Here is a 12,918-nt window from a genome sequence, read left to right as displayed (position 1 = left end):
GTTTAATATATATTAAATTCTGTTTTCTTAACTGCACACACAGGGATTTCCATCACAGTCCTAAAAAACAAAATGCATAGCCAACTTTGAGAATTGTTGTCTATATGTAAGAAAAAAATGCAGTAAACAATCACACAAGTGGCAGAACCTCTTTGCTTCCATAAAGGACTAATAATAAGACCCATATTTTAGTCTACTTTGTTAAATCTGATTGTACATAATTTTATATTTCCAAATCTAATTAATATAATGACTCATTGAATGACATTCTACCATATAGTAAAATGTTAAAGTTGATCTTACTTTTTTCGCTCCTCATCTCTATTGTTTGTATGATTTTTTTTTTTTTTTTTTTGAGACGGCATCTTGCTCCGTCACACATGCTGGAGTGCAGAGGCACGACCTTGGCTCACTGCAACCTCCGCCTGCTGGGTTCAAGCAATTCTCCTGCCTCAGCCTCCCGAGTAGCTGGGATTACAGGTGCATGCCACCACGCCTGGCTAATTTTTGTATTTTTAGTACAGACTGGGTTTCATCATGTTGGCCAGGCTGGTCTCGAACTCCTGACCTCGTGATCCACCTGCCTTGACCTCCCAAAGTGCTGGGATTACAGGCGTGAGCCACTGTATCCGGCCTGTTTGTATGGTTGTTATCTTTACCTGGGATTATAATTTTACATATTCATTGCCTGCAAAAGATATTTACTATGAATCTTTAACTCCAAAATTAATATACCTAACATCTTTCTTATTATCTAAAAAAATTACAAGAATGATGATCCAGCTTTCAAACTTTTAAGAACAAAACATAGAGATGCAGTTCTTAATAGAAAGAGATACAAAATGGTAAATGTGGTATAGTATTTTTTATTCAAATTAGGAATATTTTATATAAATATATACAAAAATTAGGTGATTATATTTTTATTCTGTCAAATATAAGAATTGATGTGAAATCATTTAGTACTATTTTTAATAATAGAAATTGAAAATGTTGCATGTTACTTTATAAGTGACATGAGAAATTAATGTAAAAGGGGCTTTGGGTTATCTTCAAGAATGAATTTATGTGGGGACATTGTTTATACCCATACAATAGAAAATATCCCAAACACAATTCAACTTTTAATAGAATAATCTTCAACACCTTTCCGGAGCTAAAATAAACTTTTAAATAAATATTGCATGGACATTATATTTTGTATGGGAAACTATTTTTATGTTAGTTTCACAAATGCTTTATTCACAACCAGTGTGAATTAACTTTTAAATCTACAAATTAAAACATCAAAATCTCATGTTATAATACAATAAAGAGACAATTTTATTCCCAGGAAACAAAACTGAGTTAGTATTTAAATCCTAGAAACTAAATATAGACAAAAATATTAACTTTCCAATTCAGCCAATCTCCAATTAACACATATAGGAAAAAGAGTGGGGGGAAGCGGAGGGAGAGCATTAGGACAAATATCTAATGCATGCAGGGCTTAAAAACTAGATGATGGGTTGATAGGTGCAGCAAACCACCATGGCATACGTATACCTATGTAACGAACCTGCACGTTCAGCACATGTATCCTAGAAATTAAAGTAAAATTTTTTTAAAAATCTTAAAACACAATAACTTCATGCTTACAGAACATAGGCTTATTGTGAGGAAAAAAACCCAAAAGTCCATAACTGTTACAAAGTTGGACAAGGTGTGAACTGAAAAGGCAAACATTTGGTGAGCACACAAATCAGCATATATTCTAATATTGTAATATTATCTCATTTAAACCTGTTCTTACTCATGTGTGTGTCATCCTAGTTTTCTCTGACTTACAGCACCTCACCCTTATTCCTCATCCATCCAAGTCTCTGAGTGTCTCCAGAGAAGCTGCAGTATTCAGTGGCTGAGAATAGTGATTCAGAGGTCATACTACTTGCCTTCATTTATCTATGCAACCATATTGATTTAGCCAGGAAATGTTTTAGGTACTGAAAATATAGGAGTGAAAAACAGTCCATACACAGTTAATCCTTGAACAGCATGGGTTTGAACTGCATACGGCCACTTAATACATTAATTTTTTTTCAGTAAAAGTTACATCAAGTGTGCCTGCCTCTCCTGCCTCCCCTTCTACCTGTCTACCTCTTTCTCTGCCACCCCTGAGACAGCAACACTAACCCTTCTTGTTCCTTCTCCTCCTTAGTCTACTCAACCTAAGGATGAGAAGGATGAAGGCCTTTATGATGCTGCACTTCCATTGAGAAGAAATATGTCTTCTCTTCCTTATGATTTTCTTAATAACATTTTTTCTAGCTTACTTTATTGTAAAAATTCAGTATATATACATATAACATACAAACATGTGTCAATCAACAGTTTATGTTATTGGAAAGGCTTCCAGTTAACAGCAGGCTATTTAGCAGTTAGGTTTTTGGAGAGTTAAAAGTTCTACTCAGATTTCTGACTATACAAAGGGTTGGCACTCCGAACCCACATGCTGTTCAAGGGTCAACTGTACCTGTCTTCATTAAGGTGGTTTTTTTATGGTGTAATATACATAAATAAATTGAAAGATCCATAAATAAGTAAATAATTATCTTAAATTTCTGAATCTTTTACTTACTGTACAACCTTGAGTATGCTATTTAGCTAACTAATCTTCAGAATATTTTTTAACCTGTAAAATTGAGATGCTAATATTGAATACAGTTAAGTATATAATATGAATATATATTTGTGAGTGTGTGTGTGTGTGTGTGTGTGTGTATATATATATATAGTCTTTATCCATTTTATGTTGCTGTAATAGAATACCCACAAACCAGGTAATTTATAATGAACAGAATTTGTTTGGTTCATAGTTCTGGAGGCTGGAAAGTCAAGAGCAAGGTGCCAGGATCTGGTGAGGGCTCTCATGCTGCATCATCCCATGGTGGAAGGCGGAAGTGCAAGAGAGCATGAGAGCAAGCAAGAGAGAACCAAACTGGCTTTTATAAATTCCCACTGTTGCAATAATGAGCCCACTCCTGCAATAACGACATTAATTCATTCATGGGGTGGAGCCATCCTGACTTAATCACCTCATAACAGTTCTACCTCTTAATACTGTCACAATGGCAATTAAATGGCAACATGAGTTTCAGAAGAGGCATTCAAATCATTGCCATACACACACACATACACACACACACACTATATATATATATACGTATATATACATATATGTGTGTATATATACGTATATATACATATATGTGTGTATATATACGCATATATACATATATGTGTGTATATATACGCATATATACATATGTGTGTATATATACGCATATATACATATGTGTGTGTATATACGCATATATACATATGTGTGTGTATATACGCATATATACATATGTGTGTGTATATACGCATATATACATATGTGTGTGTGTATATACGTATATATACATATGTGTGTGTATATACGTATATATACATATGTGTGTATATATACGTATATATACATATATGTGTGTATATACGTATATATACGTATATATACATATATGTGTGTATATGTATATATACGTATATATACATATATGTGTGTATATGTATATATACGTATATATACATATATGTGTGTATATGTATATACATATATGTGTGTATATGTATACACATATATGTGTGTATATATATGTATATACACATATGTGTGTGTATATATATGTATATACACATATGTGTGTGTATATATATGTATATACACATATGTGTGTGTATATATGTGTATATACACATATATAGTGTGTATATATGTGTATATACACATGTGTGTGTATATATATGTGTATATACACATATATAGTGTGTATATATGTGTATATACACATATATATGTATGTATATATGTGTATATACACATATATGTGTGTATATATGTGTATATATACATATATATGTGTGTATATATACATATATATGTGTGTATATATATTCTTTCTTGAGATTAAAAATTAGCTTTTATTGAAAAGTAATAATAAATAACAATCAGACTGAGCCAGGAGCCTTAGATAGATATAAATCAAACTTATAAAACTAAACACATACTTCACTCAGGTTTTGTCCTACAAATTGCCTTGGTTGCCATGATGAAATAGAAATAAAATTAGAACATTTCTTGTCCTTTATCATAAATTAAAGATTCTTTCTCCATCTTTTTTGACCTCCAATGTAAAAAGATAATAAAGACTCTCTGATGCACCAAATCATGTTGCCAAAGAGGCCATTATTTTGTATTAACTCTAAAACCTAGAAATCATTGTTTTTTTTAAAAAAGTATTGAAATCTTAATAGTCTGCTGTATGAAATAATGTTAGTTCATATAGTTTACCATTTATTAACGGCAGCTTATGAATAAGTTCAGAGTTCTTTTTTTCTTTTATCTTATTTGATCTTCCAACTAATCTGTAGCCTCTTGTATGAGGGAAAGCAGTTCACACAGGAGCAGCTCATCTTATGAAAGTGTAAAAGGCAGTCTTTGGCTGTTTCCTGACTGTAAACAAAATGCAAAGCTTTATTTCTTTCATATTACCTCATAAGCTTGTTCTGTAGTTAAAATGAGATAATCCATACAGAATTCTCTGCACAGTGCCTAGCATAGAGTAAATGCTCAATAAATGCTGATAACTGATCCCTCTCTATCTCATCTCTCCCTCTATTCTCACTGAGCTTATCATCATTTAGAATATCACTGCTTTTGCTTTGTTATATTTGCAATAGCCTTCTGTTAGGGTTTCCCTTCTCTAATGTTACCTTTCCCCTCTTCCCTATAATTATGTGTTGTCACCAGATTAAATTGTCCTCATGAATAATTCTGAATTATCCAGGTTTCTGATCAAATACCTTTAATGAGTTCACACCGTAATTATTGAAGAATACCACTGTCTAGATGCACTGTCCCTTTCTAATTCAGTTCCTTCTGTTATGCTTTGTAATAACTATTGTATTCCAGATAAAACAACTTGTTCGTTGTTCTTTTAAGTGTCTCAAAATTTATATTCTATGAGAAATGCCCCCACTTACTATTTCACCCCCAACAGAAACAGATGGACACACCAGTCCTCCAAATGTCTTCTTGTAATCTCCTACCTGAAAAGATTTTTTTCTCTTTTCTTATCTTTATTATTACTTTTCTCATAGCCCTTTCTATGTAAAAGGACTTTTTACATCCTAGTTTCTAGCATTGTTCCATGTGTACATGGTGTATTTCTCTTAGGAGAGTCTACTGTCCTGGAAGGAAAAATCTGTATCTGATTCGTATTTTTATTCCTAAAGTGTCCACATTAAATCAATATTTGTTGACTAAATGCAGGAATTAATTTTTCAAATTCTTCAGAAACATTAGAAGTTTCAACACCAAATACAAAAATAAATTACTACAAAACTGTTTTTTTTAACCAGGTAGATGTGACTTAATTTTTGATATGATTGCTGGAAAACAAGGCGATTAACCCTGTTCCAAAATATCTCCCAACCCCTTGTATTCCCCCAGTAGAAAGCCACTAGCAGTTGATATTCCTAGTCTTCCTGATGATAGCTTTATCACGTCTGATTTAAGAGACATGCACTTGCTTGTTTGCTATATTATAGAACACAAAACAGACAATAAATAGTAAAATGACACTGAAGGTGGATGTAGAGTTGTGAAAAAGACACACTTTGCCTACATAGAGCTTTTGAAATAGATGTCTCTGGTTTAATATTTTGCAGCAATTTAATTTCTCAGTAGGATGTGTCATAATCTATGTAACCTGAAGCAGACTGCCAGGAAGTTTCAAGAACCTGTCAGGTGGCAGAATCAGAGGGCACAGCTGACTAGCAATAATCTGAGGGGATACAAAGGCAGGTATGAGTCTATTTGAAGCTGGGAATGTTACAACCAGGAAAGAGAAGATGGAGCTAGAACAATTCATATTCCCTTACTTATGCAAATTCAGAAGCCACTGTTGAGTCAAACCAGGCATGAACAGTCACCCACTACCTTGAAAAAAATTCCGGAGAAGTTAAGGAAACAATTATGTTAAGTAAGGAAGAGAGAGTCACTAAAGCAAACTCAAAAGGGAAACAACCCAAGTCAAAGCAGGAGAAATATTGGTGGTTGCAAAGTAGCAAAAGAAACAAATATACAGGGTCCATATGACCTTGTGTTAGACACTGTATTGCTCCATCCCATTTGTATTCTTTTTTATTTTACACATAAAGGCCATCAGCATACCTTTATAAATTCTTAGAATTATGACATATAATTTAAGTTGCCCAAATACCTCAGATCAGATTGATATGAGACAATTGGGAAATTGATTAAGTAGTATATTATTTTTATTGCTAAGTCATGACAGCAACCACCACTTGACTGGTAGAAAGTAATGCCCATGAAAGTGCATGGTCACTTAAAAAGCATCTCATATGTACTCGAAGTCAGTTTTCGGCTACAATAAGGATATGGGGCCTGTAGCCAGTACTGTGCTAGAGTGGCTTCCTAGCAGCTCAGCAGATCCAGTTGTGCACATTTCTTCCCAAATCCCCAAATCCAAGCTCAGTGATTGTTGGTAACTTGAAATTGGCTGTGGTAGAAAACATGACAAGCTAGGGCTTTTCCCTAACCTTGGTGAGGGGTTGTTAAATATTACCAACATGCCACTATGTCTGTCCTGGTGTTTCTTTCCACCAGGTCTCATTTGTGGTTTAATTCTACTATTCATGAAGACCTTTGAGAAAGCCTTACCATTGCCACTCATCATCATGAGTTCAATAGTTGTGCCAATAGTATTGTTTCCAGATGCTTTCGTAGCTTCCAGTCTTGGAGTTGCCAAAATATTCCTGGATTCCATGCAGAGATAGGGAAAACAGTTTACCTCAACTCCTCATTTTTACACGTGGGCTCTGAAATCTCTTTATATTCATCCCCTGGTTTCTCACTGTATCTTACTGACTTCTCCATGTTGTCTCAAAATGAATCCAATGAACCATGTAAGAGATAGACATTATTCCAACTTTGATTTGTTTTACTACTTAAGGTCCTCCTGCCAACCTCCAAAATATGTTTCTTCTTCCCCAAGAAAGCATTCACATATATCAGTAAATGAAAACAATGTCGAATGTATGAGCCTATGGGTAAACAAGAAGAGAAGAAATGCTGTCTGATAAGAGGGGCGCATGGAGTCCAGCTTAGCCAAAAATCAACCATGCCATTTAACTGTTTTAATTGTATAATTTGCTAGATGTTTCTGTTTTTCCTCCTTTCTCAAATTGACTCTACACAATTTTTTACCCTGCTGTGTATTCTGGAGAATTGATATTTAGGGGCTACCTTGATGGCTTCCTTTCTCTCTAACCTCCTGTTGAGTTTGGCCAAAGGAAGGCACAAGCAGGAGATTTGGAGATTTTAGTTGAATGGCCTTCTCCATATAGCTGCTCTCTCTGGGCTATGATAACTGTTCTTTCCCTGGTCTTTCCGGCCTGTGGTTAGTAATAGCTCCTTGCTAGCACTAGTCCTTGGACACAGTACTGTTCTTCATTGTTTTTGGAAAAACCCCATCCCATACCTTTAAGAAATTCTCTCTATAGAAATCTCATCAATTATCCTGTTTCAGTATGTCATTCCTTATTCTGTTGGAATCCTGGATGATACTTCAATTAACCTAAGTCATAGCCCATGAAGCTCAATATTCTTTTCACTAAAGGTATTTCTATTTAGTATATTTATGAATCATACTTATGGTGCTTCAACTATGAAAAAAATTTTAAAATCATTCTGCCAAAGAAGGCTGTTTATTTGACCCTAAATATTGTACATCTACCCTACCTGCAATTTCATTAGATCTTTTCAGAGTGTTTCAATTTTTTTTTTTTTTTCTTGAGATGGAACCTCGCTCTGTCGCCGAGGCTGGAGTGCAGTGGCGCGATCTTGGCTCACCGCCAGCTCCATCTCCTGGGTTCACGCCATTCTCCTGCCTCAGCCTCCCGAGTAGCTGGGACTACAGGCGACCGCCACCACGCCTGGCTAATTTTGTTGTATTTTTAGTAGAGACGGGGTTTCACCGTGTTAGCCAGGATGGTCTTTCTAAATGAATAACTCCTCTTGAAGTAAGTATTTGAAGAGAAAATCAAGGATAACGGAGGAACATGGAGCACATTGAATCTTGTAATACATATAACACATTGGTTTGACATATATTGATATGAGAAAGAAACCCAGCAGTTTTATCAGAGTATTAAATATGTAGTAATGCATTGGAAAAAATAGGCTCCATCTCCTCAACATTGTCTCTGGGTTCTTTTACATTTAAGTGAAAACTTGATTGTGCAATCTGAGTTTAATGTAGGTGCTAGAAAATCCACTCATATTATCAGGATCTTGAAGCTCACATTACTGGGTTGAAAAGTTTCCAGAAAAAGATTTTCCTACCCATTAATGAAAACCAACAATTGGAATAATTCAAATCAAGAATTAACCAGGATACATTTAAGCTGTCTAATCCTCGAATCCCCTAGGCAATCCTGAGTCATTCAGCTACCTAAGGTGCTGCTCCAATGATCAAGCAGTTTCCAGAGTGAGAAAGGGCGCCCTTGCCCTGACCTGCAACTGGAAGACTGGGAGAAAGGTTACGTTATATGAATGATTCATATGAAAATGTGGGAAGGAACTGCTGTATCATTTTATCATATTCCAGTGATGACATAGTTTGTAAAACATATGTTTTCTACTATGAGGGAAATGTTAACTTAAAATTTCCTATTTTTACAATATAATTTCTATTGTTTTACCTATTGGCTCTGATGAAGGTGATCCTGTAACTGTAACTCTGTTTTTAAATGTAGTTTAAGAATGTGGGTACATGAAAGGAAAGGCCTAAGTTACTATCTGACCCTCCCCAATCCCCAAAAGGCCTAACATAATAATTTGAACATATTAAGACCTCTACATTTATTTATTGAAATGAATACAAAATATTCAAAATATGGTTAAAATCATATTGTTTATTTCTGAGAGCAGTCCCAAACTTAAACATTTGGTTATTTTTCTTTTCACATAATGAAAAAATAATATGCTTACAGAAACTTTGTATCTCCAAGAAATTCTATGACTCTCTGAAGGAGCTGAAGGTTACCTAAAAAGATTTGTCATCAGAGGCATGACACAAGTAGTCACTTCCCCTGGTGCTCCCTTGCCTGGAATTGTTCCTGGTGAAACAAAAAATTACCCACCCAGTGTGACTAAAAGAATTAAAAGCAATAGAGAATACAGACAGGGTAAGCTATGATTAATTGCTTGGTAAGATGAAACTTTAATCCAAAATATACATGAATCCTGGTATTTAATGCTCAGGGTTTTTAAAAGGTAATCTTTGAGGTTTTAACACACCTTCAAAAGCATGGCTTTAAATATATTCTTTTGCCTTCATAAGAATTTCCGCTTATGAGTTCTCAGTAACAGCAATAATACTAGAGAAATTAAATAATCTAATCAGGCATAAACTTTCCAATGTCATCAAATTTATCTAGCATGAACAGTTTTGATGAGATCTAATTATAGTCCTAATTACTGAGAGTTGCCTACAGATCAATATTTTCCTGCTTCTCTTTGGCAACAAGAAAACATGTTCCTATAGAAAAATAAAAATGTCAGAAAGCATTGAACTGAGAAGAGGCAGGAGAAAGCATCAAACTAGGAAGAGCCAGGACAAAGCTGTGAATCAGTACAGAGCCAAGATTGTTGTAAAAGTTTCTAATAAATCTGAGGGATGATTCAAGGATACAAATGGTAGAATGTATGGCAAAGTTGGTGATTTGGAGAGGCAACACAAGAAAGAAGACATTTTCTACTCAATTATATTATTCAGGATAAGATAGATTATATTGTGGTAGTGAAATGAACCCTGAAATCTCATCAGCTTAATATATAAAGCTTTATATCTTGTTCACCCAAAGTCAGCTGTGATTTGGTAGCTCTCAAGAACAGCTCCCTTTCCCCTGTACCACAGGTATCAAGGCAAAGCTCTTGTAGCACCACCGTCAGCAAGGGTTGGTTTAAGAGTTGTGTTGAGAGAAGAGGGAGCTAGGAATTGTGTCAAGGGAGGTGTGTCTGGACTCTTCCCAGGTGAGGATGTAGAGGGGCAAGTGGACTGAGGTACAAACCGTAGAACTCACCAAATATCCCTATGCTCTTTTCCACATTTCCCAGTCTCCATGTAGTTATTTTGGGACAACAAGACTACCCTGACCAATGGGATATGAACAGCAATAATATATCACCTATGAGATGAGGCATTTAAGAGGCGGTGTGAGTTATTTCTCTTCCCTTGCCATGGTGATCACTGCAGTCCCAAAAGATAATGCTAGAAGATTTAAAAAGAAAAAAAAGAAAAGGACCTGGATCTCCAAGTCACTGTTTGGAAGGAAGCTGTCCTAGAGAGTTACTTGAACCACAAATGACTTTGTGTGGGCAAGAGAGGAGTAAATTTGTATGCAATAAGCCCTGAGTGTTGAGATTTGTTTCCATAGCATAACCCATCTGTCTTTACTGATATCCTAGTGAAGATGAGTGCTTCAGAACTAAGCTCTCCTATGGAGGATGTTCTGGAGATCTAAGTTTCCTAGAATCCTACTGTGGTTTAAAAGAAAAGGGCATTACAACCCAGGTATGAGCATTACATGATTATATGAATAAGAATGAGATTACGTGGTTAGAAATGTGTCTATCCAATTTAAAAGTTGCAGTACATTTTCAACATAACAGCTAATTTTCCCAACAACAGACTTGATCTTACTCCTAATCATTTTCTCCTCTTTTCCTTTAGAATCTACAAAAACCCTGCTGAGGTTATTTTTACCCCATGGTCAATAGGTGTTTTCCTAATAGACCTGAGTGACCATTTTTTTCACAGTACAGAATAAACTTTCATCCATCAAGTTTTTTTATTAAAGAAGATCTTCCCAATTGTAAAATTCTGCCATATAGAAAATAATTTCAAATATTTTTAATTGAGCATGAAATAGATGGCACAAATTATTGATTCATTGTCTCATTGCTACATAAAAGACACTGTTAGTATGTTTTAATGTGTTTGCTTCAGATGTGTATTCAAATAGTCCAGAAGTAGAAAGGGCTTGATTTCTAAAACTGGAAACAATCCATACTAGATATTCCTAGCAGAAACAAGGCTCTAAAACGATTTTAATAGGCCTGCAGATTTTAGTTTAAATAGAACTAGTACATGGTTTGAAAATACTTAAAGGAAGATAAATATCCTTGCCTCTGTGAGGGCCAAACCTCATGACTGGGAAAAGTGCAGTCAGAGAAACCATGAATTACATTTATAATTTTGCTGTGAATCTTGAATCCCTTAGTTTCAGTCAAGATATATGAAGTCAGGTTTATGACTAAGAAAGCCACTGTTTCTCTTTCATGCAATGAATCAGAGGGAATAGGCAGTTAGCTAGAGCTAAGCATAGATTAGCAGAGACAGAAACGCTGAGCTGTCAAATACTTCAAAACCAGTAGCAGCAAACAAAATATCCAAGTGCTGCTCTAAACTTATAAGACTATTACAAACCTAGGAATTTTCAACACCCAAAGCAACATAAGTCTTAAAGGTATCTTTTGGAATATGAAAAACCAGAGTCATGCTATAAAGTGATAATAATAAGATATTTCTTTCTTATTTATAGTTCTTTAACACTTGCTTTTAAATATAGTATTCTTTTAAACACATTATCCCTTGCTATAATACAAGAAAAATGACAGATGAATACTTACAACTTCTCACATTACTCACATGTGAGAATTTTTTTCTTGTTTGTATGGCCTGGAGTAGTGAGTGTGGAAGGGAAAAGTAATACCTGTCAGCTGAAATCCACCAGATTGATTTTCACTGCTCAGAGCCGGGAATTATTTGTAACAAAGGAAGGGTAGCAGTGCAAAGACAAGAGAGAGGGAAAAGACTGGGCTGGGTTGAAGGAAGAGATTTGGAAAGATTTTAGAAATTGAGGAATGGGATTGGTACTAACCTGCCATCTTATGATGATTGGGTTTTTATTTGTATGAATGGAAGTCTTCTTTTGGAGAGGATTCAGTAAAGGTTAAAGAATCTCTCTCTCTCTCCCCCCCCATTAAGAGGTAGTTTTCTGAAAGTAAAAAAAAAAATAAATTGCTGAAATGGGCCAAAGAGTGACCAGTTTGATAGATTGTTCTAATTGTTCACAAATATTTTAATTTTCTAGAAAAATATACTTAATCAGACATCAGTGTGCTAGCCCAAGCCAACAGGAAAATATCAGACAATGATAGACCAACCTGGTCATCAACTTAATGAAAAATCTCAAAGTAACAAGCAGGAGTCAGGACATCTTTTTCAGTGAAGAATGCTCCCACTAATAAGTAACAGAAAGTTTAACAATAGAGGGATATTTTTATTATATAACCAGACATCTGAAAATAGATCTCTGTTGGCATTTGTTCAGCAGCTCATTGTGGTCAGGCCCAGCATCTCTGTTACTTTCTTTGCCTTTCTTTCATGATTCAAAAGTGTTGCTATTTCACAGTGGCAGGTCCTTGAGATGCAAGAAAACAAGACATCCTCTTAGGTCCTCCTTAAGGTCCTCTTAGCTCATAGCAAGGAAGAGGATGACATGGGAAGCATGGTAGCCCTGAGAAGGTAGCCTGAGAAACAGGCCTGGAGAAGACGGAAGAAAGCTCTTGTGTAGTTCAAAGTTACCTATATAAGTTTGGTTTATACAGGTGTTCCACAGAGGTTATATTTTTGGCTTTTTATGATTTCCATGTGAGTATTCTCAATACTCAAATATTCTCAATACTCAGATTAACCTGGGAATAAGAATATATCCAGGCCCTGGAGCATAACTTATTCCTTTCAT

The sequence above is a fragment of the Homo sapiens genome, chromosome 9 (assembly GCF_000001405.40).
Source record: "Homo sapiens chromosome 9, GRCh38.p14 Primary Assembly".
NCBI classification, from domain to species: domain Eukaryota; kingdom Metazoa; phylum Chordata; class Mammalia; order Primates; family Hominidae; genus Homo; species Homo sapiens.
Note: the sequence above shows the minus strand (reverse complement) of the source record.